General features: G+C 37.4%; 1 long non-coding RNA gene, 1 pseudogene, 2 gene segments (V, D, J or C) and 1 further gene, besides 12 other annotated features; 4 read left to right on the forward strand and 1 right to left on the reverse strand.

Moving 5' to 3' along the window:
- The window catches only part of TRA (T cell receptor alpha locus), a 930229-nt gene that overhangs the window by 527694 nt on the left and 376019 nt on the right, over positions 1-26516 (forward strand).
- Positions 5482-5533: a sequence feature (TRAV28 leader sequence).
- TRAV28 (T cell receptor alpha variable 28 (pseudogene)) lies at positions 5482-6041 on the forward strand (annotated as a pseudogene). The gene is given in 2 exon segments: positions 5482-5533; positions 5771-6041. Coding segments are annotated over 2 exon segments (323 nt in total), but the record flags the coding sequence as incomplete, so codon positions are not given.
- Positions 5771-5778: a sequence feature (TRAV28 leader sequence).
- Positions 6049-6071: a recombination feature (spacer).
- Positions 6072-6080: a recombination feature (nonamer).
- Positions 13752-13803: a sequence feature (TRAV29DV5 leader sequence).
- Positions 13752-14273, forward strand: TRAV29DV5 (T cell receptor alpha variable 29/delta variable 5). The segment is given in 2 exon segments: positions 13752-13803; positions 13968-14273. Coding segments are annotated over 2 exon segments (358 nt in total), but the record flags the coding sequence as incomplete, so codon positions are not given.
- Positions 13968-13975: a sequence feature (TRAV29DV5 leader sequence).
- Positions 14281-14303: a recombination feature (spacer).
- Positions 14304-14312: a recombination feature (nonamer).
- On the reverse strand, positions 17253-23784 carry LOC124903284 (uncharacterized). Of its 3 annotated transcripts, none has more exons than XR_007064069.1 (2): positions 23565-23784; positions 17253-19261 (listed from the first exon to the last, which is right to left on the reverse strand). It is a non-coding gene; the product is annotated as an uncharacterized LOC124903284 (long non-coding RNA). The 3 variants fall into 3 exon arrangements; XR_007064068.1 differs by having other exon boundaries at positions 23229-23784; XR_007064067.1 differs by having other exon boundaries at positions 23032-23784.
- Positions 18832-18883: a sequence feature (TRAV30 leader sequence).
- On the forward strand, positions 18832-19391 carry TRAV30 (T cell receptor alpha variable 30). The segment is given in 2 exon segments: positions 18832-18883; positions 19107-19391. Coding segments are annotated over 2 exon segments (337 nt in total), but the record flags the coding sequence as incomplete, so codon positions are not given.
- Positions 19107-19117: a sequence feature (TRAV30 leader sequence).
- Positions 19399-19421: a recombination feature (spacer).
- Positions 19422-19430: a recombination feature (nonamer).

Genomic DNA, 26516 nt, shown 5'->3' on the forward strand with positions numbered 1-26516 from the left:
CAAGTTTTCAAGCCTGAAGAAGAAAGAAGTTGGCAGTTTCCTCCACATAGCAAGCCCTCCACTGGCCCATTTTCATACTTGAAGCAGTTGTATTTGTTCTGTAAGGCAAGATGATATAGCAAAATGCACATGAGTTTCTGAGTTTTGAAATCAAAATAACTTAAATTAAAATCTCGTTTTTGCAATTTTCTAGCTCTGTGTCCCTGGGCAATTATTTATCCTCACCTACATTTCCTTATAAATTAATGTTAGTAAGAACACCTATCTTGCTGAGTTGCTATGAATTAAATGAGATAAAATACATAAAATTGTCTCAAGTTCCAGGCATAACATGTATACTCAACAAATGTCCTTAAAATAATATTGTTATTGATGGCCGTATGTAAATGTCACCCCTACTGTGGAATTTTCACTGACTACTTAAGGGGGAATGAGTTATTCTCTGCCTAATACTCTGAGTCCTCACCAGAGGAGTCAGGAAGGCAGACACTGCAAGCTGCCAACCTAATCACAATTCTTTTCTGCCTCCTTATTAACAATACCCTCAATTTTGATTTGGGCAACAATATGTCCAGCTTTAAAAAAGCTCAACACTACATTTTACCCTCTCTTGCAGCAAGAGATTGCCATATACATATAGAACAGTTCTGACCAGTGAGATAGGACCAGAAGTTGGATAGGGCCTTCCCATAATGTTTTTTTCTCTCCTGATACAAGTACACATCTCTCTATCCCTCCTTTTCTCTTTTTAAAACATGGAAGAGATAACTTTACCGTAAAGGAAAACACATAACTAATCCCCTTTCCTTATCCCATGCCTGGTAGTCTTTTAGATGCCAAGTCAAATCCAGCCCCCAGATTTAATTTTGCATGAAAATTTTTAATAAACCATTATTTGGTTGAGTTTTCTGTTGCTGCAGCTAAACATAATTCTAACTATAGTAAGATTGACATAAAATGGCTTTATGATTTCTTGTTTCCATGTGTAAAGGCAGGAAAAGATATATAAACAAATTACTTTGTTTATACAAACATGGGGACTCCATTTATGTTGATCATATCTGTTTCATAAAGTATTAATATTCCTATATTTTTTATAAAGGAAAAAAACTTCACCTTTCATTTAGAGAGGACTCGTTATTAAATTTCCATAGCAATTTCTTATACTCATGGAAGATTATGGAATCCAGATTTCATCCTAAAGTCTTTTAACCACAGACAATTTCCATGCAAATAATAACTATAGTCTTACATTTGTCTTAACTTTATATTCCAAAGGTTATTTTTCTTATTTTCTTAACCTTACTCTACCCAGTAATCCATTTTAAAAGCCTCCTCTAAAAACTTTATCACATTAAACTCCTTCATTCTGAAAATTTTAAAGGCAAATACAAATAAAAATAAGAAAACAATTTTAATTATCTCTGATGCAAAAAGAGAAAGACACTCTCCCCTCCCTTTCGTTAGAGCACCTACTTTAGAAAACTTGTAATTGTGAGTTTTCTATCCCTTTGAAATGTAGGTAAATCTTTTTAAAAGCTAAATAAATCCCTTGCCAGTTTTACAATCCAGGACTGTCTTTCTCAAGAACCTGAGAGCATTTTTTTCAAAATGTAATCACGAAGGGAGGTAGTGCCCTAATCTAGTTTTAGTGGAGAATAGGTGCCTAACTTCAGCTGGTACTTTGCTCCCAGTTGCAAACCAACCTCCTGTCATAAAGATATGAGAAATGTTTCCTTTGCATGAAGGCAATTACGAAACAGGTGGCTACCTCAATTACCAGGTAAATTGAGGATGAACTATGTTTGAAAAATGATGCTGTCAAGTCCTCTTTCTTGCGGACTAGTTATTGTTTATCTTGAGAAACTGTAAACAATCAGTTGCATCTGCTCGGCTATATAAAAGGATAAGATTTCTTTATTTCCTTGTAGTATCTTTAGTGGATTGCCTGTGAGATGCATCACATTCTGGTTTAATGCTTATTCAATAAAACTGTTTTTTTTTTTTTTTTTTTGAGACAGAGTCTCACTCTGTCACCCAGACTGGAATGCAGTGGCATAATCAGGGCTCATTACAACCTGTGCCTCCCAGGCTCAAGCAATCCTCCTGTTTCAGCTTCCCAAGTAGCTGGGACCACAGGTGCATGCCATCATGCTCAGCTAATTTTTTTGTATTTTTATATAGATGGGGCTTCACCATGTTGCCCAGGCTGGTCTCTAACTCCTGAGCTCAACCTATCTGTCTGCCTTGGCCCCCCAAAGTCCTGGGATTACAGACGTGAGCCACTACACCTGGCCAAAACTGTTTTCTTTCTCTTCTACCTTTGTGGGAAGGTGTTATGGGTTGATAGGAGATTCTGTTTTACTTCCTCAACAAAATGGCCCAGGGTCTTTCCCTAATCACTGGGCTTACATGTCTCTTCCTGAAAAGCACCATGACACTATGAAAAGAGCAAGGGTTTCTAAAGGCTCTGTCCCTTATTGGCTGTGTAAATTTGGGAATATTATATTAACTTCATGAGCATCAATTTCCTGATAAGTACTGCAGAAGTAAGAATAAATACTTAATTTACAGTATTATTGTGAAGATTAGCAATGTTTTGGTAACTGCCTAGCATAATGGACTTACAAATTAAAAAATTGAAAGTGGGAACCACGGCTTCCACAAGGTACACTCAAAACCTCATTTGTGTCCTGATATATGTTTTGAGCCAGGAATATGTGTAAGAGTTAAAGAAAGAGGAAAGAAACACAAAACACAGCTTGGCAGTTAAAGACAGGTTTACTTTAGATAAAACATGAGAGGGGCTTCTGGCTGATTTATTTATTTATTTATTTATTTATTTTATTTTTATTTTTATTTTTTGGTCAGGAGCACTTTCTCTTGCAGACTAAGAGTATATATTGGTTTTAGGGTGAGGGGGTTTATCACAATCTTGGAATGTTTATGTGTGGAGGAGAAGTTTATGGCGGGGTTTGGAATCTCTCTGGGAGGAGGGGAGGTTATCTTGAGGCTGATGTCTTTTTGGCAGGAGGGGGATTATCTTGGGGCTGGCACCTTCCCAGTCAGAGCAGGGTTATCTCAGAGCTAGCATGCCTCTGGTTGGGGAGGAGTTTGGAATGTTTCTGGTTGGAGATGTTATTTGTGGTTTATGGTCATGCTGACCATAGCCATTAGGCTGATGGCCTTTGGACTTAGGAAGTTTTTGATTAAGGTGAATGTTAAAATGAGGGCTTGTCCAAGACAGCGATGCTCCTGCTTTGTCAATATGGAAAGGACACAGTCCCTGCTTCCAAGGAACTCACTCTCATGGTGATAGACAGTCATAGACTTGCTCCCATAGCCATCATTCTCCAGGGGCTATAAGTTGAAGAATCCTCTGACCTACAACCTCCATTCAGAGCAGTAATTTCTGAGAGAAATTGCACACTCTCCACACTCCTGAATCACTGTATGCCTTCCTAAAAACACACTGCTGATGTTTAAGACCAGACTCAGGCACCACCCCTGGGTGGGGCATCTGCATTGCTGCAGAGGAAGTGGTGTTAGCTCTAGGGGGTACTCTAACCTGAGAAAAGTCTCCTTAGGCTGTCAGGAGGATTGATGGATGAATGGAGAATAAAAATCTCTGAAACAGGAAGAAGGCTAATAATTTAGGCTGAGGGTGGGGGATCAGTAGCAAAAGAGTATATGGACCATAAAATTCTTAATAACATACATAATCCTGCTTTCTTATCACCAATTCTCCTTTATCTCCAAGAGCCAAGATGAAGCTTAAGATTTAAAGAAGACAATTTGTTTAACATTTATTTATAGTTCATGAATTAATATTTTTTAGTATCAGGGGCCAATATGAGACTAGATCTGTTTGTCCAGAAATTATTTCTAATCTCTGATCACTGTTCTTATCTAAACCATGCCTATGGACATAGAGGGTAGAAGGATGATTACCATAAACTGGGAAGGGTAGTGGGAGGCTGGGGAACAGGTGGGACTGTTTAACAGGTACAAAAAATAGGACGAATAAGACCTACTATTTGATAGCACAACAGGGTGACTATAGTCAATAATAATCGTACATTTTAAAATAAAGAATATAAGTGGATTGTTTGTAACTCAAAGGATAAATGCTTGAGGGGATGAACACCCCATTCTCCATATGTGCTTATTTCACATAGCTTTCCTGTAACAAAACATCTCATGTACTCCATAAATATATGCACATACTTAAGTACTCACAAAAATTAAAAATTGAAGAAACTCAAAGCCAAGAAAAATTTTTAAAAAGAAGCAAATTGAGAAAATGTAAGGTGTAGCTGGGAAGAAAAGGATAGAGAAAGGTTAAGAAGAAAATTATGGAGGACTGTCTGAATTGAAAAGCATTGTCTCTGTGAGTTTGTCAACAGCAACATTACTAGCATTTTGGGCCGGGTAATTCTTTTGGGGGAAGGGGCTTTTCTGGGCACTGTAGGGTGTTTAACAGCATCCCTCATCTCTGCCTACTAGATGCCAGTAAGATTCTCACCTGTGGCAAACACAAATGTCTCCAGACACTGTCAAATGTCCCTGGAGGCAAATAGCCCCTGGTTGAAAACCAATGGTCTATATGTCTACATATTGAATGTTGAATTGATAGAGCAGGAAAAACTTTTAGAAGGTATATATATGTGTATATATATATTTAGTATATATATGTATATATATTTATTATATATGTATATATTTATTATATATGTGTATATATATTTATTATATATGTGTATATATATTTATTATATATGTGTATATATATTTATTATATATGTGTATATATATTTTTATTACTTATATATTCATATACACAAAATGAGGATGTTAACATTTTTCTACTATTATAACACATTTTTATTCCTATGGTGGTCATACGTCCTAAGTTGCTATTATTTCATTTGGCTTTAATAAATTAAATAAGATAATTTCAATGTAAAAACGGGAATTGTAATATATATATATAAACATATGTATTTTATATATAAATATATATAACTTTTTATACAATTCATTCACAATGCAAAAAATTTTTCAGTCTGATCACGTTCCAGATTTCACCTTGGTCAATATCTTTTATCTCTGACTCCTCAAAGACATATAGACTGTTTCTCTATTCTTTCTCTAAGCTACTGTGTTCCTGTTCTTCCCCAAAATGATTCTTAAACCCTAAAAAGATGACCCCTCCATTACCCCCCACCCACACACAAACACACACAAGGACTCACGCATACGCACCACAGTGTGCAGAAGGTGAACTAAACCACAGGTAGGTGGAGTTTTCCACTAGGAAGCTGAGGGGCAACTCCCGGGAGCTGCTGCCGCTGAATCTGTCTCATGAAATTTCTCAGCCATGGGAACAAAATTAGTTCCAAATTCAAGATATGATACTTACCAATATTTAAAGAGAATAGATATCAAGGTGTGCCCCTGTAGCAAAAAAAGTAAAGAATCATGAAGGCATTAATAGGAATCTTGCTGGGCTTCCTGTGGATACAGATTTGCTGTGAGTTAAGGACAGCCCAGAGGAAACCTGGAGGAGTATCACAACTGAATTTGGAAAGGAGCAATGGAGGAACGGGAGAGATGGAGAAAGAGAAAGAACGCAACTCTCAATTAAGCTGTGTCCTCTATCATAAGGAAGAAAACTACAGAGAAATTTTCTACACTTGGAAACAGCTACAGTGATTTTGTGATGACTCTCATCTGCATCTACTTTTCTCTTTCTGAACGGGGGTAAAAGCGCAAATGAAAGTGGAGCAGAGTCCTCACGTCCTGATCCTCCAAGAGGGAAGAAATTCATTCCTGGTGTGCAGTTGTTCTATTTACATGATCCGTGTGCAGTGGTTTCATCAAAAGCCTGGAGGACCCCTCATGTCCTTATTTAACATTAATTCAGGAATACAGCAAAAAAGAAGACTAAAATCCGCAGTCAAAGCTGAGGAACTTTATGGCCACCTATACATCAGATTCCCAGCCTGAGGACTCAGCTATTTACTTCTGTGCTGTGGGGACACTGTGCTCTTCAGACACCTGCAGCCTATACATGAAACCATAGCTGAAGGCCTAACCCATCCCCGAGAGTGGCAGTAGGTCCCGATGTGATTAGCATTGCATTCCCACTGCCTACATCTCCTTGCATGTCCTGATTCATGTGGAAAGTATTTCTAAATGAGTTGTAACTTGACACTATGGTGCAGGTGCATAAATGGTTCCCCTGCAGATATCTGTGGGAATGGTATTACTAGGCAAAATCTATTGATTGATCAACTCTTTCATATATTATCATATCTCTCTGGATAAGAATGAGCAGAGTCCTCAATCCTCCATATCCAAGAGCAAGAAAGCACCAGTCTCACCTGTACTTCCTTTTCCACATCTTTTTTATGGCTTACTTTAGTACAGACAGAATCCTAGGAAATTTTCCATGATATTTTTTCTAACAGACTTAAGTGAAGATGAAAAGGAAGAGGGAAAATAGATGGCCTCTACTACCATGAAGGATGGTCAGAGCTTTCTGCATACTTGACCAGAGACTCAGCCACTTACCTCTATGCTGTGGAGACACAGTGCTTCCCAGGCACCTGAAGCCTGAAATCAGACAAGTACCTGCAATTCTAAGACTCAACAATAAGTTAGAGATGTCCATGTGTTTTGCTGTAACATGGTTTTGAGAAGCATACACTTGATAAATCAAAGTGATTTCATTTCCAAAAAAGATTCTGATGAATACTTACTCTAGTAACTATCTCTGTGCTAAACAGAACAATTCCTAACATCCTAATCCCTAAATCAGGGAATCAATGAGTCAGAAATTCTAGATAAAGGATCCCTCAAACTCAATGATAAGGCTTTCTGTCAAAAAGGGTATTTGCACCCCGAATGCTACTTATTCTTATCTTACATTATCTATGTATAAAGGAAAATCTTGAGAAAGTCAAACCAAAATGTGTCAAAAAAGACATGCTAAGCTCTCTAATCCTTCATTATTTTTTTTTCCAACTTCTTTTTTTTTTTTGAGTCGGAGTTTCACTCTTGTCACCCAGGCTGGAGTGCAATGGCTCAATCTCGGCTCACCACAACCTCCACCTCCCAGGTTCAAGCGATTGTCCTGCCTCAGTCTCCCGAGTAGCTGAGATTACAGGTATGCGCCATCATGCCCAGCTAATTTCTTGTATTTTTAGTAGAGACAGGGTTTCTCCATGTTGGTCAGGCTTGTCTCGAACTCCCAACCTCAGGTGATCTGCCCACCTCGGCCTCCCAAAGTGCTGGCATTACAGGCGTGAGCCACCACACCCGGTCTCCAACTTCTTAAAGTATTTTTAATTGTTCATTTTGCTCATATTCAATAGTATCTATATCATTTTCCTCTTTGTTATGTTTTGTGAAGGTTATTAGAAAAAAGCTTATTTCCAGTCATGAGTATGCTATGTCATCTTCAGCAAGTGAGTCATTTTATTTGTCCCTCATCTCAGAATCCTCATTTATAATGTGAAGATGATATTTCCCACCCACCACTACTCACAAGTTTGATACATTAATTATTCAACAAATAATTATCAAATACCTATTAGGTTCTGTAGGGAACTTTGAATAAATAAAGAGTTCTTTCCTTGTTGAATATATTTCTAGTGGGGAACACATTTTTATTATCAGTTCCTATAAAATAGAGAAGGACTTAACTGGCACAGTAAAGGGTATTATAAAAACAAACAGATGTCTGTTAAAGGAAGCTTTCTGGAGTATGTGGTGCCTCAGTTCAAAATCTGGCAATTTAATAGGAGTTAATCAGACTGAAGAACAAAAGCAAGTGGGGGAAGGTTCTCCAATTTGAGGAACAGCATACATATATAGGCAGGAAGCAAGGCAGATTATAGCAATTTTAAGACATAATGTATAATTTGCAAGTTATTAAATAATGTTCATAAGTAACTCTTATTTTATGGGAGACTAAATAAGAACCTTGAAATGAATCGTCTGTAAATCATAATATGGTAAGGTGAAGGATATGGGGAACAAAATTACTAAGCATATCTACATCCTAACAGAGCAGATAAAGATAACTGCACTAAGAACAAATAAAAATAATCATGCAACTGATTGATGATAAGAAAATGTTAGTTCTTCAGAGACCCTAATCCCTTTTAAGTGTGGAAAGTATTTCTAAATAAGTTGTATAAGATATGATAAATATGATACATAAATGTGATCCATTTTGACTATTAAATAAAGCTGAAATTTCCAATTTGATAAAAGTCTCCACTGATTCAAGGTACTCAGCAAACTCTAAACAGGGTAAATGTAAAGCACATGCACACACACACACATAAACACACACAGAACAAGAGAAATGCATACTTCTACACATCAGAGTAAAACTGCTGAAAATCAAGGAAAAAGAGAAAAATCCTTAAAATCAGCTTTGCTTTTGTTTTTCAAAGGGTCAATTTCATTTCCCTCAAGTTTTTCTGAAATCATGGATGAGTGAGTCTAGCAAATGCCCAGCCCTCTTCAGGAGCCGGGAAACATATGTGGCCCAGTTGCAAATTTGGGGACAGCTTATGGAGGCCTGAAGATCACTGCATTTGATCCACATAGGTAGACACCTGAGCAGCTGGGCTGGCCAAAACTAATTTGACATTATAGTATAGGCAAGAGAATGGCATGGACTCCTCATTCCAGTCAACCAAAAGCAAAGAAGAGGTGTTATTCTACTGGCTGAGATGATTGATGCTGCCTTTCATGGAGAAATGGTTTGCTACAATACAGTGGGGGTAAAGAAGAGTATGTCTGTGGAAACTCTTAATCCCACCATGAATGATGATAAAATTTAATGGAAAACTACAGCAACTCAATATAGGCAGGACTGCTAAGACATAGATCTTGAGGTTATCATCCCACCAGACAAAGAAATATGATTGCTGAGGGCAAAAAACAATAATGAATGATGGCAGAAGAATGAAATTGTGCATACTAGCTACAACCTCTTGACCAGTGACAGAAACAAGATCTGAAGTAGTTATGGGTACATCTTCCTTACTTTGATGTGTGTGTGTGGGGCGGGGAGGGTTAACAACCCATTCTTTTTATTTCTTTTATTCTTCTACTGTCTGCAATAGTATGTGTTTTTATTTGTTAGCTTTATGGCTCACTATAAAATTCACAGGTTATCAAAGGAGAAGTATGACTCAACTAGAAAAAGAATAAACTTCATTTAAAGATGTATAAAGTGACACAAGGGACCTTGCATTTTCTTTTGGGGAAAAGGTTAGCATCCTTACAATTTTATGGAAGAAATTGCATCCTATTAGGTAGAATAATTATTTTACTATTGTCTTATATGGAAATTAAATACCATCAAATGAGGTATGACCTAACGCAAAGTTTATAAGGAGGTACAAAATGGTGGTTTGTACTGGATTAAGCAGGGAACCAAGTTTCCCAGAGTTTCCTTTTTTGTATAGTAGCAGGATAAAATTGGCCAAAGAGTAATGTGTGTGAGCTATGGAAGGCAAAAGTGAAACAGTAGCCACTGCTCTCTGAAGCAGTCATTTGTCATATCTGACAAATAGACACGGATATGCCCAGCAGGTGCCAGCATGTTCTAACTCTGTTCCACTCCATGCCTAGCATGCCTTCCTGCTGACCAGTCACCTTCAGATGCCTGGCGATAGATGAATGGAGATGGTAACCACACAAAGGCAAGAGCTTCCTTAGACTTCTCCTTGAACTTCCCCTTCAAATCACACTTCAGCAGCTGCAAATGCTTGGTTTCTCAGATTAACTGGTTAGAGTTTCCTTCTCTGGCCCTCCCACAGCCCTTAGACCTTCACTTTCCTGTCTCCTTTCACAATCACGTAAAGCCAAATTCCCATAATTAAGCCCCTATCCCATACAACTCATGGTGACTTTCCTGCACTTGACGATACCCTGATTGATGCACTAGACAAATATAAATTAGTTCAATGGAAAGTTGTCCGTCTTTTAAAAATGTGTATCCAGATACCTATTGGGAGAAAGAACAATCAGAAATCTAGTCTTACCAGAAAAAGAGTAGACCTTAAAAGAACACATGTAGCAAGGTGAGTTGCAAGGGAAAGAAGAGAGGGAAGAAAGGGATACAGCCTGTGGGCTCCTGCATTTCCATGAAACACTGGGTGTAAAGAATCAAATTTACTGAACTTAAAGTATAATAATAAAAAAAATCTATCTATATATATATACAAAGAATCAGATTTATCACTATGTGAAGATGTAGGAATTATTTTTAATTAAAAAATTCTCATCAGAAAGAAATTACTTATAACTTTATGAATAATTTAACATATGTCAATCTAATTCTGTGTTGTTAAAGTAAAGATATCAAAGGAATAGCTCTACTCCCATGTTTCAGAAATTCCTGGTAGTATAACTGAGTAGTCTTTATTAGGGAAGACAGACTTCTCTAAACATATCTGGTGACTCAGTTTGGTGTATGCAAATATGAATATGGATATGCTATGACAAGTGTCCCCACCCCCTCCCCCAACTAATTTCCTGTGCAGAGACAGCTGTGTCACCCATCTCCACTGATTCTGCAAGGGACTTGTCATAAAAACTGAATAAGGCCAAGGTTCAGGCTCTTTAGAGTGGTTACTTCCCTAGGAATAGAAGTGTCAACGTGACTTTTATAACATGCTTTGAGCACGTTATAAAATTTGTAAATTGATAGGCTCATCTTCTGCTCTCCCACAAGCTCAAAACACTGTGAATTTTTTACATCTCCAGAATAGAACCTCTTGCTCTTGTGTGGCGGAGCCATCATCAGTTCTTTTAATGTTCACCACTCTCGGTAGATAAAAGTTCTATTTCATTCTAATTGTTCTATGATATGATTTAGAATCACTTTAATGACACAGTCTTCAGTGTGAGAACTTCTCTTGGTTCCAGCATGCATACCCCAGGAGGAGCAGAATCTCCTCAGGTCTAGGGGACCTAGTGGGCTGTAATACTCTCTCTTTCTCTCTCTTTCTCTCTCTCTCACTCTCTCTCTCTCTCTCTCTCACACACACACACACACACACACAAGCAACAAGGTGAATTCACCACAAATATAAAATTGTGAGCCACCAATAACCCACAATCAGCCTCAAAGCTTGCTGAAAAATCTCGCACTAACACCCCTCCCAAATAAAACAGTTTTCTGTAGCAAGGCATAGAGTCACTCATATCCAATGATTCAACATGGGGCTTGTGATGCATCTGTGCATTGTGTATTTTGTACTTTTGTTGTCTAAATGGTGAGTCTGTGTGCATGTGTATGAGAGCACGAGCGAGAGAGAGACTATTACAGACCACTAGGCCCCATGGACTTGCAAAATCAGCCTTCTTATACATGATTCATGCATGGATCCTCATGTTTTGCGTGTGACCACCCTTCCTAACATCAAGTCATAAATTTCCTACAGACAGATACTGAAATTCAACTATAATGAACGGAGTTCATTTGCTGAGCACTCTTGGCTATAATTTGTCTGTGTACTTTTAAAATTGCAGATACCTTTGTCCGGAATGCCCTTTTCCTACAAAGCCAACTTGTTAATCTTCCTTTATCTCTTAAGGCCCCAGCTGAAGGGCTCTACCTTTGTAGGGTCTTCCCTGACTCCACACTGCTAACCTCCTCAGCAGAACTAATGGATCACCGTTATGCTTTCCTCATAAAAACACTCATGTCTCGTGCTATGTTGTAAGTATATAGTTACACATTTTTCTTTCTCTTCAAATTACCAGGTATTTATGAATGAAGATTGTCCCATAACCATATTTGAGACTCTAAGCCAGGCACATTGCTAAATATTGCATAAAAACTAAATTAATATTGATTGATATATAAATACACAAATAAATCAATGAAAATTTCTTCACTAGAAAGTCTGAATTATATAGGTTTAAAGTATATAATATGCAACACAGACAATTTATCAGTTTCTCCTGAATCAATTATTTTTAATAGACTATATATATACATACATATGTATATATATACTATATGTGTATAGTACATACTATACATATGTATATATATACTATATGTATATACTATATATTATATATGCTATATGTATATACTATATATATTATATATATACTATATGTATATACTATATATATTATATATATACTATATGTATATACTATATATATTATATATATACTATATGTATATACTATATATATTATATATATATACTATATGTATATACTATATATATTATATATATATATACTATATGTATATATATTACATAGACATATATATTTTTTTTGAGATGGAGTTTCGCTCTTGTTGCCCAGGCTGGAGTCCAATGGCGTGATCTCGGCTTACTGCAACCTCCATCTCCTGGGTTCAAGCGATTCTCCTGCCTCAGCTTCCCAAGCAGCTGGGATTACAGGCAGGTGCCATCACGCCCGGCTAATTTCATATTTTTAGTAGAGACAGCGTTTCGCCACGTTGGCCAGGCTGGTCTCAAACTCCTGACCTAAGGTGATCCAGCCGCCTTGGCCTCCCAAACTGCTGGGATTACAGGTGTGAGCCATGATGCCCAGCCAGACTTAATGTATTAATGGACTTAAAACACTTTTAATAGAGGCATTTTAACTTTTCTGAGTATTTGTTTCATTATTCTTCAAGTGAAAATTCAAAATGTTTATTACCATAATAAAATATGCATCAAATATTATTTTATTATGTGTTATCAGTCCTTGCTAAAAATAATTTCAAAAAACATTTTGGAATTTAATCTCAGCTGAAATCACTAGTTGCCCTACTAATTCAGCATTAAAAGTACAATTGATTCTTCTTCCTTCCTCCATCATAGTAAACCATGGGGAAATACATTACCTGTGGACCAAGAGTGAAGATAAGCAGCTATGTTGCCTTTTTGGCATCTTCTGGTAAATTTCATGAATATATTGTCTATAGACTTTACAGGATTATGTCACCGTTTTTCTCTTTTGAAAATACAGAACACACTAAATGATCTCATTCAAGTTCCAATAGAGATAATTTCAGTTCAGAAGGTGATCTAATACAGAAGATAAATTTTGTTGTGCTGATTTGTGTTTTTGAGAGAGGTACCCAGAATTTAAATTTAATTTAATTATGTTGTGCTATTTATCATATAGAAAATATGGGCATATTTGAAGACCATATTAGAATTCAATTGCACTAAAGAGTAAGCTACGAAACTTCTTTGTGTTCTAAATTCATATCATTGTATTAAATAAAACATCATACCCATATGCGTCCCCAATAAGTATCAATCCTTATTAATGTTTTTAAACAAGATGTCTGCCTTAGTATGCCAGTTGACAAGGTGTCAGTCATTTGACCTTATGTAATTCTCTAATTTTCAGCTATCATTTTCTACTATTGCTGTGTGTGTGTGTGTTCTCTAAAAACTTTTCCTTCTCTTTCAATCTCTTGTTTTTTAACTTTTTATGGAGAAGGCATTATAAAATCATCTTTAGGAAATACAGAAACACATTTACAGAAACTTTCTACATTTGAACTAAAGGGGGCAGTGCTTCCTTTCATAAAGATAAATAAGCTTAGAGCTCCACACAGGTTGTTCATATGTAAAATGAAGGGTCTGTGGAAGGACATGAATAAAGCACAGGAGGTTGAAGTCAGATTTGCAGCTTTCTAGGCAGGAGATAAGACAATCTGCATCTTCACAGGAGGGATGGCCATGCTCCTGGGGGCATCAGTGCTGATTCTGTGGCTTCAGCCAGACTGTGAGTTGTGCATGGGAGGTTTGAATATAGTAAGAAAAGCTACAAGGAACACTACAAGGCTGGGAGATAATTGGAGAAGTTTTGTTTTGTTTTCCGGATCTTGATGGTTTCCTGTGGGGACATTAAAAATAAAACTGAAAATCTGTTATTCTCTTTCCAAACAGGGGTAAACAGTCAACAGAAGAATGATGACCAGCAAGTTAAGCAAAATTCACCATCCCTGAGCGTCCAGGAAGGAAGAATTTCTATTCTGAACTGTGACTATACTAACAGCATGTTTGATTATTTCCTATGGTACAAAAAATACCCTGCTGAAGGTCCTACATTCCTGATATCTATAAGTTCCATTAAGGATAAAAATGAAGATGGAAGATTCACTGTTTTCTTAAACAAAAGTGCCAAGCACCTCTCTCTGCACATTGTGCCCTCCCAGCCTGGAGACTCTGCAGTGTACTTCTGTGCAGCAAGCGCACAGTGCTCTCCAGGCACCTGCAGCCCGTACTCAAACCTGCTTTGGGGACTCAGACTGGGAGACACATAGACTCGCTTCCATTTACACATGCCAATATGAGAGATTATGCTTTGAAGTAGGTGAGGCAAGTTGAGCCTAAAGAAAGACTGATACATGACAAAACCTTACAAATAAGTTAAGAAAGTTCCCTGAGTTTTAGAGTGTTTAAGAGTCTAACCACTCTCCTTTTCTACTTTCAGAAAGAGGTTGCTGATTTAGCTAAAGCATAAATCTCTAGTGATGCTTTGTTTCTGCTAGCTTCTGGAATGCGGGTGCCCTGTCTCCCTTGTATACTAGGGGGCAAGGATGTGTGTTTGGAATGGGAAAACCAAGGTCCTACTGCAGGTTCTTCCAGTGATGAACATTTCCTGAGATGTCTTTTCTTTTAGTTTTTCTCAGTGTACAGGCATTTCTGAGCAAAGAATTGCATGTGTGAATACTAACTTATGTATATCTGCATATCTATAAATATTTCTATATGTAGCATAACCATCTGTATCTATATTAAGTTAAACATTCGTTCTTAGCAATGTCTCCAATGCTAAATCATTACCACGTGGATCACACTAGCCTCCTCCCCTTACTTATCCATAAATTCCCACTACAGGGGTGCACAGCCTGGCTCTCACTGTTAACAAAAAGTTATTCAGTAATACTTGTTAAAACACGGTGAGGCAGAATTTATTTAGGACCATCATGATAGGTACAGAGACCACTGCAACAGGATTTTGCAGTGAGGGAGAAGAATTGGATTCAACTCCGAATACAGCATAGACAAGTGGAGATTTCTAGCCAAGGGGCAGATTAGGGGTCAGTGGATAGGAAATTACTAAGAGGAAACATTAGAACCAAGGGATAGTCTGGCTAGACCAGCCAAACAGGATCCTTGCAGAAGACAGGTCAGGGTGATCAGACATCAATCCCCTGGGGGATGATAGAGGATGAGGAGCCCAGTTGGATATGGAGTGTAATCAGATATCAAGCGGAGGATGACGAGGGCAGCAGGGGAGGGTGTGGTTCTTGCTAAACTGACTTAGAAGGATTCTTGTTAAAACTACATTTTACAAGAAAATGTACAGATGAGCTTAGGAGAAACTTCAAAAGCCTGACTAAAGTTTGGTCAAGCAAAGAATTTTTGTCATTACCACCCACTATTCATTTACATCATAGTCCAATTCCATTAAACATGTATAGTGGTATCAGAATTGTTACTTGTAGCTCCATGAGAAAGAATTTTATCACTTAGAGCACACTGTTGTGTAATGGTAATAATGTCTAGATTATGTTGAACTTCTATTATTCCACCTGTTTTGCATGTATTACATTAATTCTTCTAATAATTATTTAAGACAACTATTAGAATAATCCATATTTTAGTAGAGAAAACAGGCTGTGGGAGTTCAGGGATTTGTTCAGTATCACTAACTTTGTGAGAAAAGAGAGTTCATGGTCACTCATGCCCCAAACCACCAAGTATGGGCCCTTCCTACAGAAGCTATTAACAAGTCATGCTTTTGAACAGCTAGCAATCTTTAAAATTCTTATCATACATGTCTTCATCATTGACCTATAGAAGAGTGAGATTATCACTCATAGAGAATTAAAAGCTGAAATTATGGTTTTATATGTATATTGTATTTGTAGATAAATGATTAGAGCTTGTTCCTCACAGGCTGATTTTCTGAAGCTGAAGATCTTTACAGAGAGAAGATACAGAAATTCAGGATACTTCCCAAGAAGCATGCGGAAGCCTCTGTAAATCCCATTACTTATGGCATAATCTGAACAGTGACTTCAGGAACAGTGATTTCAGGAATGCTGAAGACATTTTTTATCAGAATAGGGGTGATATATAGGTTGGCTTAGCTTTGTTCATCTAGGGATCCTTGTGGGGTTGGTTTAACTATAAGGTAAAATCTGTAGGTTGATCAATTCTCTCATATTTAATTCTATATTCCTGAACATGGATGTAAAGCTAACTCAGTGTGAATTAGATTTATTATCCCTCCATATCCAGGAGCACCAATATCACATGCAGTATTTTTTCTGTTCTTTTTATGGCTTACATTGGTATAGGCAGGAAAAATTCCAAGATCCTTTTCGTAATGCACGTAAATGAGAATGAAAAGCAGGAAGGAATATTAAGCATCACTCTTCATACTTAGGGTATTCCATGCACATCTCGGGCTCCTACTCTAGAGCCTCAGCTACTCTGAGCAGAGAGTCTGCTGTGCATACTCTTTGCTCACAGGCATCCAGAGCCTGTTCCCAAATTCAAAGCTGTAGCCACAGATCCCAGCAAAAGGGCAGACACGCGAGAGTTGTTGCTGTCTTCTAGCAGGGTGTAGAGAAATGTAGCTACGATGAATCATTTCATTTCAGTTTCAAAAAATGTGGAAATTCAGCTGAATAATCAGTCCAGTTACTATATATCCCTGCTCTTAACAAAACTATTTCAAATACCTTAAGACAATAAATCAGCTTTTCTTCTTTTCAGATATATTTAACATGATTTATAAATTACTGAAACCCATTATAAAGTTCTGTTACAATGGACATTTTTCACTCTAACTGCTGTTACATTTACCCCATTTCATGTCTTGCATAATGGGGAGGGAATATATTAATGCTGTCTTTATCCTTCTAAAGCAACGTAGAATCATACCAGAAAAAGGAATACTACATTCAATCTCATCCCTGTCTTTTTGTTCAAGCTCTTCAGACTGCTTCAACTTTCACATTTCATTCATTCCCACAGTTATCTATTTACGTTCTTTTCTTATCTAATATATTTGGGAAACAGCATTGGGAAAACATACTTTCTAGCATTGTTCTAGCCATAAGTGTGTTGTGTCTTCTTGAGCAAGTGAATCAACTTCTTAACATTTTATATCAGGACCTTCATCTGTAATGCAAGGGCAATGATTTCCAGCTAACATCGGTCTCAAGTTTTATTCATTTTATCAATTAGCAATTGTTAACTGGTTGCCTGCTGAGTTCTGCATAAATGTTACATGCTGGGAAAAAAAGAGCTATGGAAAAATACATATCTTCTTTGACTAAATTGTAGTCTAGTTAGTTATGTAGGCAGCTAATCAGACAGAGTAAAGTGAAATGAGGCCAACCTTGGGAAAGCAAAGGGAGGTATGAAGGCATATGGAAAGTCCCACCCCCATCTTAGCCTTAGAGGTGAGTCAGGGGCAGCCTGTAGTATGTCTTGCCTATGCTGAGACCTAAAGATTTAGTAGGAGTCAATCAAGTTGAAAGACAGAGAAGGTAGTAAAAGTGATCTTAAAGATAGAAACAGCATGTACAAGGTGACACAGAACACAATGAACCTGAGGACTAAAAGCCAGAATTATGCTATAATTAAAATTATGTATGTCATAAAATGTTCAAACCACCACTGCAAAGCAGTTGTACCTTAATTCTCAGTTTTATAAATGAGTAACCATAATATTTGTGAGGTTACCAAATATGTTTTCTATTTACTTGAGATTTCACTTAATAAGGTTATTCATTTGATACCTAATATGTGTCTTAGACTTGAAAACAATAGATGCAAATGAGAAGAATAAGGCATTGTTTCTGCCTTCAGGGAGCATGTAATATTGCAGAGTGTATTACAATATAGTATAATAAAAGCTATCATAGGAGAAGCGTAGAATATAACCACCTAACAGTGGCATTTAATTTGGAAACTTAAATGTAAGGGAAAGCTGCCTACGGGAAGTAGTATCTAGGTTAAGATCTGTAAAACAGTTAGCCAAAAATGGAGTCAGAGACAGGGTATTACAGAAAAAGATAAATAGAATGTACAAAGACATGAAGTCAATATTTAGGTTAAGAGAATGACATTAAACTAATTCAGGATGGCCAGAGCATACAACTCAAAATGTATGTCAGTAAATATAAAACTAAAGCAATAAGCAGAAACCACTTTGTGAAAATAATTAAAAGCCATTATAAGATGTTTGTACATTACATTATCTTGAAGACAATGATGAGCAGTGAAAGAAATCTGCACAAGTAAATAATATAATGAAATGTCACTGTTTGAAAGATTACTATGAGTTCACATACTTATATATTATATCCATGTGTGGGCATGTATATAAAATATATATATGTAGTAAAATACATATAATACATTTTCCCTTGATACTTCTTTTTTCTCTTAATTCTGGAGTAATTCTTTCTGTAACACAGTATATTGATAGGCCCTTCTTATAGCAAGAAAAAAACCTATCCTGTATGAAAACTTACTCAAGAAAAGCCAAAATCCACAGTTTAATCAACATTCCTCAGTCTGGCCACAGGGGAGAGCTGTTTAAAAAGTATTCTAGGTAGATGCATTTAGTTCTCTGCAGTTAAACTGTTGTGATGTGTCTCTGATTGGTTGCCCCCAAAGTTGCAATATCCTGGAAGCAATTGCAACAGGCCTCATTCTGAGTTCAAAGCAACTCCTGTTAAGGAAGCCCATTCAGAAGCTGACTGGATATTCTGGCAGGCCAAGGATGGAGACTCTCCTGAAAGTGCTTTCAGGCACCTTGTTGTGGCAGTTGACCTGTGAGTACACGATTCAGTCTGGGAGAGGTTGTGATATGACAGCATCTTAATGACAATAGCTTTCTGTCTTGGGAAGGGCCCTTTTAAGAACCAGACCTAAGAAGTGAGGAAAATGTACCGTAATTATGTGGTGATGCTTAATGTTTTAAATAAGGAAGGAAGAGAGAAAATCACCCTTCCCTTCACGAGATTGAGCATCTCATTCGATTGTCTTTCTGATCAGGGGTGAGAAGCCAACAACCAGTGCAGAGTCCTCAAGCCGTGATCCTCCGAGAAGGGGAAGATGCTGTCATCAACTGCAGTTCCTCCAAGGCTTTATATTCTGTACACTGGTACAGGCAGAAGCATGGTGAAGCACCCGTCTTCCTGATGATATTACTGAAGGGTGGAGAACAGAAGGGTCATGACAAAATATCTGCTTCATTTAATGAAAAAAAGCAGCAAAGCTCCCTGTACCTTACGGCCTCCCAGCTCAGTTACTCAGGAACCTACTTCTGCGGCACAGAGACACAGTGATACCCAGGCCTCCAAGACCTGTACTCAAACCTAAAGCTGAGCCGCAGATGCTCCCCTAGCATAGATGCCCACCACAGGAGTATGGGGAACTTACCAGAAGGTTCATCCATGATAAAAGAGAAACCTGAAGGAAATTCATTTGCTTCAACATATAACACAAAAAGCAAGCCATGGCCTTAAGACCATATCTAATTTGGCATTGTTTTCTTGATAATTATTTAATTGCTTTGTTGGTATTATATGATAGATAACTTAGATTCAGAGAAAATTACATAGATTTCAGTTTCAAAAACTGGAGTGAATTCCTATTTGACTGAAGCTATACATATAAACTCCTTTTGGATCTCTGCATTCCTATCTGAAAGTGAAAAGTAACCTCTCTTTCTTCTCCTAGGTACCCACAGCTTGACAATAGGACAGCAAAAAAAAAAAAAAAAAAAATTGTCTGGTTCTTTCTTGGACGTGAGGATTGTACACGGTAGGTATTTAGATTGTTAATCTTGTTACCTATCTGGAAAGGTCACTAGCATTATTTTTTCCAAGGTTTTAAATATCTGTTTTGGGGAAATGGCATTTAGAAGTACTTCAATTTTATATTTGCCTTGCCTTCTCTTCTCATTGAGGTTTATTCTGATTGATTTCCAGCTTTGCCCAAGGGACCCTGAGTTATCTTACCAGTTTGCCCAATGGTCAAGATCCTTCCTCAATTGTTCCTTTCACATCAACCCAGCACAACACTGCATGTAGGAAACACTCAACAAGTTTTAATTGAGTCATATGTTGATAAGAATTGAGAATGGCCAGGTGTGGTGGCTCACGTCTATAATCCCAGCACTTTGGAAGGCTGAGGCGGGTGGATCACTTGAGGCCAGGAGTTCAAGACCAGCTTGGCCAACATGGCGAAAGCCTAACTCTACTAAAAATATAAAAATTAGCCAGGTGTGGTGACACACACCTGTAATCCCAGCTACTTGAGAGATTGAGGCATGAGACTCACTTGAACCTGGGTGGTGGAGTTTGCAGTGAGCCGAGATCACGCCACTGCACTCCAGCCTGGGTGACAGAGTGAGACCCTGTCTCAAAAAAAAAAAAAAAAGAAAAAAAGAAAAAGAAAAAGAAAGAAAAAACAAACAAAATAATCACACACAGAATTCCTTCCACAAGATCAGTCTTCCACAAACATTCTACAACTTGCTTAAATCTTTAGTCTTGTCCTATCAGTCTACCCTAGAACAAAAATTTAATTTTTCAACTTTCTATATTCATTGAGTTTTATCCATCATTTTTTTTACTCAGAAAACTTTAAAATTAACTTTTTAAAAACTTAATTTTAAAAAATTAATTTAAAAAGATCTCCATGCTGGGAAAAATTACTTTCTCTTTAACAGAAACCAGATTCCCATGCCTTCTTAGAAGCTTTTTATCAAAAACACAAAACAACTTTATACACTTTGCATATATAACTGTTTCTCTTATAGCTAGTAGTTTGTTGTTTTGTTTTGTCTTGTTTTGTTTTTGAGATGGAGTTTCGTTCTTGTCGCCCAGGCTGGAATGCAGTGATGCAATCTCAGCTCACTGCAACCCCCGCCTCCTGGGTTCAAGCAATTCTCGTGCCTCAGCCTCCCAAGCAGCTGGGATTACAGGCACACACTACCAAACTTGGCTAATTTTTTGTATTTTTAGTAGAGATGGGGTTTCACCATGTTGGCCAGGCTGGTCTTGAACTCCTGACCTAAGGTGATCGGGCCGCCTCAGCCTCCCAAAGTAATGGGATTACAGGTGTGAGCCACTGCGCCCGGCCATAGCTAGTATAATTATATACATAAACTGTAATGTTACTTCTTAGTAACTCTTATTCTTAGTGAAAAACTGAGGAAGTAAGTAATTCTAATTAAGCACCAGATACAGAGTCCAAGACAAAGGACAATCCCTGGAGCTAGGCTTCACAATCTCCTAAAGGCCCAAATCCAAAAACATAGTTTATAGACAAGTTAAGTGTCAAAAATTGTCATAAAAACACATTTTATGATCTTAAAACATCTAGCAGAGATAATATCTGAACAACAGGCCAATAGACAGACAAAATGTCTAAATTAAATTTGGAAGAGGTTTCTATTTTATTTTATTTCACCAATAATTTTTAAATTGTCTTTATTTGTTAAAGATTACTAAAGTCACATGAACTTAAAGGTGTTTGAGTTAAGGTTTCTATTTTTCTCATAAAATATTTAAGTGTTTACTTTTTAAGTCAATTAATTAGAACTCTTTCACATATTTTGGTTGTGAAACATCACATACACATAACACATATAAATATATAGACACTAGACACACAGACACACAGACAGAAGCAGATCTTGTAGAACTATATGATTTTTTATTTACCAAATTTAAGTAGTTGTTTTTATTCACAGTTTCAATTACCTATTTTATTGCTCTAGGCAACTGTTAGGCGACCCTAAATTTGCATTTCTGAAGTGATAACTCTCAGGTGAAACAAGATAAAGGATTTGCATCTCAAAATACAGACAGAGACAGGGAATTTAAGCTCTTTAAATTTGGTTGTGTTAGAGGAAGATTGAAAACATGGATGCCAAGTAACACAAAATTATATAAATTTATCACGGGCTTTTATAAGGTGACCAATTTCATTTAGATAGGTGCTTTTAATTTAGTCTCTTTTTTATCTGGACCATTGAATTCAAAGCATAACTCACACTAAATCTTGGGTCCCCCAAAAGAGGTAAACACCATGGGGATTAGGACACGCCATGTTTTCACTGTACATTTCACTGCAAATACATTTCCCCTGAGGCTGGTGGGCAACCCATTGCCAATCAGCCCACTCTGCGATCAGCCCATTCCTTAGCCATTGTACACACCAAAGGCAAGCTTTTCACAATAAAAAGAAATTTCTAGTAACTCCAGAAGCAAAAATTTCTGGTAGTGCAATGCAAAGGAGAGAAGAGTTTTAGATCTGAGAAGACACTGTCCATTTTCAACTCTTGGGATTCCCTGAGGAAAAAAATAGCAGTTTCTCCCATAAATGGGTCTGTGGCACATTTTCTGTTTTTTCTTAAGGAATCCCAGGCTGTTAGAATTTGTTGTTGTTGTTGTTTGTTTGTTTGTTTTTGTCTTCTTATGTGGCACTGAGGGTGGCAAGAGGAAGGAAAGGGCGATAGAAAGAGAGAGACAGAGGGAGTGCACATTCCTAGCAGCGGTTTAAGAAGAAATTCAGTTGCCTGAGAAATGTTTACAGAGAGAGAGAGAACAGAGGCCTTAAAGCAGTAAGTAAATACATACATAGCCTAAATATCAGTTTTAATTAAGTCAACTTTTGACTATGGAGCCCTTTAAATAAATCCTGTCAAATCTCTTATTATCAGATTTTAGCTGAGACAAACAGTTGATATTTCTGACTTTTGAACTTCTTTACCAAAAGATATACCCCCAGGTGCCTTAATCAAGGTTATTATATAACCGTGGGTACACAAGCTGTCTCCAAAGAGTTGGCAAGCATTTTTTAACAAGATCCAGAATCACCCCAAAGATCGCTCAGCGAAGGAAAGTTTCATTACCAATAAATGGGGTATAACCCATATTTCTGTCAGGCCATGTGTTTAGAGTCTTACCTTCTCAGCTGACCATATGCACACAAAGGCCCCAAAGCCTCATGTGCCCCCAACAGATGAAAAAAGACAGGAAACAAAAAGCTATGGAAGTGGGAAAGATCAATCATAAAGATCAATAATAAATTGATACCCAACAAAAAAGTCACACAAATATTAAACCGAGAGGGGCTGGATCCCTGACCAGTAATCAGACTCACCCTGTGGATGTGAAAGTGCAGAATTTTAACTATTGGGCCACAGGTGGAGTGGCCTTTGTTTTTCCTTGACCAGAAAGCAAACCCAAGCCTCTGCAGGAATTTTACCTACCAGAACTGGTTTAGGTCAGATTTTTCACTCTTAATTTAGTCAAGAGAATTTTTAAGGCTGGCCATGACACTATTATATGTCCTTTTTAAATGTGATCTCTTTGTTAATTGTTTAGAATAAGAGATCCCTAAAATCTTTAAATTAATTGCACCGAAAGAAAGGATGGGAAAAGGGTCTTGTTGTGTAAATGAAACTTCTCAGGTAGTCAAATTGTTGACCTTTCTTACCCAGCCAGGGTTTTTAGAAGTGAAAATTGACTTTCTCCAGCTGCAGAGTTTCATTCAACATTAGAGGGGGCCAGGAGTTGGTAAAGTCTAACAGAAGGTGGACCAAAACTGAAAAGAAAAACCAGAAAAAGTGATCACAGAATTCACATATAATTGCGATCTCTCAGCATAAGGGTAAGTTATAGCCAACTGACAATAAACCTTGCCCTTCAGCTACCAAATCCCAATATGAAACCAGCTCCTTACCTGGAGATGGACCCAAGCTGAAGACTGCTGTCTGCCATCATGGAAGCAGAAACTACCAGAAAAGGAGTTTTACAGCAGAATAAACCTCAGATCCCAATTGAAAATTTGGGGGAGATCAGGGATCTCTGGAGGGAGAAGTTCCCAGAACTTACATAGCAAATCATCCAATCTGTAAGAGTAATAAAGAGCTCCAGCCGGTACCAGGGCCCCAATAGGAGACCTGCTGGAGGCCAAGAGCCAGACTCCACTCAGAGTCCCTTCGTGGTCACCAACATGTAAGCCAAAAAGTGACTGAGGCAGATCTCTATTGATTAGAGGTTTATTTTGCCAGTCGAGGATATGCCTGGGAAATAGAAACATAAGTCACAGTAGGATCCTTGACCTGTGTTTTTCCAAAGAGGGTTTTGGAAACTTAACTATTTAAGGTGTAAGAGCAAGCAGGAGGGAAAGGGGAAAAAAGGAGGGACAGTAGGCAATGAGACAAGTGGTTACATTCTTATAAGGCTTTGATTAACACTCAATGAATCCACATTTTGTGTGTGAAAAAAAGAGAGTAGAGGAAAAAATCAATTAAGCATTCATCTCATCCTCAGTAAATCTACATTTTACATACGATAGAGTAAGCATGTGAAATTAGAGTTACCTGTTTGGGAACAGAAGGAAGGCAGTGTTTTGTGTGACTCCGTTTCCAACCTTAATTTTCCCCTTGGCATAATAACTTTGTGGTTTTCAGATTTTATTTTTCTTTCCAGATTGAGATTCCCATGACCCCCCATTTGAGTTCAATTAATAATTAATTTGCTAGAACATCTCATAGAACTCAGAGAAACACTTACTTACATTTACTAGTTTATTATAAAGGCATACATATATTACAAAGCATAAGGATGAAGAGATGCAAAGGGCAAGGTATGGGGGAAAGGGGTGCAGAGCGTCCTCACTGTCTTGGGGCACACCGCTCTCAAGGAACCTCCATGTGTTCAGCTATCTGGAAGCTCTCTGAACCTAGTCCTTTTAGGTTTTTATGGAAGATTCATTAAACAGGCATAATTGATTAAATCATTGGCCATTGGTAGTCAACCTTCAGACTCTCTCCCCTTCCCAGATATTGGGGATGGAGCTGAAAGTCCCAACTCTCTAATCATGCCTTTGTCTCTCCCATCCCCCATCCTGAAGTTACCCAGGGGCTGCCAGCCATCCGTTCAGTCAATCATTAACAAAGATAAGACATCGCTTCAGAGTTTCTAAGTATTTTAGGAGTCGTATGTCAGGAAAAGGGGTCAAAGATTGAATATATACTTCATAATATCACAAGTCATAAAACTGAATAGTACTTAGCAACCAAAAGAAATAAAGTACTGATTCTTTCACCAATATGGATAAATTTTAAAGCATTATTCTGAAAGAAATAAGCTAGACACAAAAGAATACCTACCATATAATTGTATACATACGAAATTTTAGAAAAAAGCAAATCTGATCGATGGTGACAAAAATCAGATCAGTAGTTTCCAGGTATTGGGAATGGAAGAAGGACATTGACAACAGTAAGTCACATAGGAACTTAAAAGGTGATAAAATATTCTATATGTTGATTAGGATAGTGGTTACACAGATGTAAATGAGGGAAGAGAGAGACCCTCTCGTACTGTTTTATATTGTTTTATACTCAGTACCTGTTTTAAGAAAAAACAACAAGGAAGTAAAACCAAAGACAGGCAGCCTGACGCCAGGCCCGAAACCAGGTCTGGGCCTGCCTGGCCTAAACCCAGTAGTTAAAAATCAACTCATAACTTAGAAACTGATGTTATTCATAGATTCCAGACATTGTATAGAAGAACACTGTGAAACTCCCTGCCCTGTTCTGTTTCTCTCTGACCACTGGTGCATGCAGCCCCTGTCACATACCTCCTGCTTGCTCAAATCAATCACAACCCTTTCATGTGAAATCTTTAGTGTTGTGAGCCCTTAAAAGGGACAGAAATTGTGCACTTGGGGAGCTTGGATTTTAAGGCAGTAGTGTGCCGATGCTCCCAGCTGAATAAAGCCCTTCCTTCTACAACTTGGTGTCTGAGAGGTTTTGTCTGTGGCTCATCCTGCTACATATACATTTTTCAAAAACAGCTTGACTGTTATGCTTAAAATGTGATATATTATTTCATGTAATTTATATTCAATAAAATTAATCTAAAAAAGATTAATAAAAGGATTTAGATTCTAGATCTCATGATAATCTGTAACACTTCTTTTAACTCAATAGAAGTAATTCCTCTGTTTTAATTTTGGGCAAAAAATAAAAGAAAGAGATAAGATAACAAGAAGTAGGAAAAGGAAGGTAACAAGAGGTAGTATGCAGGAATTAAAATTCATTCTCTTAAATTAGAGGACGATTACATCCCAGGTTCTTCATTTACTGTATACGTGATCTTGAGCATGTGTCTGAGCCTCTGTCTCCTCTCTGTAATAATTTCTCACAAGATTCAACTGTCTCACAAGGGGAGGATTAAGTAATAATATGTACATAATGTTCCTAGAGCATGATAAATGTTCAGTGAATTTTATCTAGTATTTTTATTATTAACCAAAGGTGGTCATTTTAAGTGAGCCTAGGTTCTCTAAATCAAATTATGGGTGGTAATCAACATGGTATGGCAGCTCCAGAATATTTTTTTAATCTGGGCAACTTGAGGGGCTAGGGGTAAAAGT

Source organism: Homo sapiens, chromosome 14, assembly GCF_000001405.40.
Source record: "Homo sapiens chromosome 14, GRCh38.p14 Primary Assembly".
NCBI lineage: Eukaryota > Metazoa > Chordata > Mammalia > Primates > Hominidae > Homo > Homo sapiens.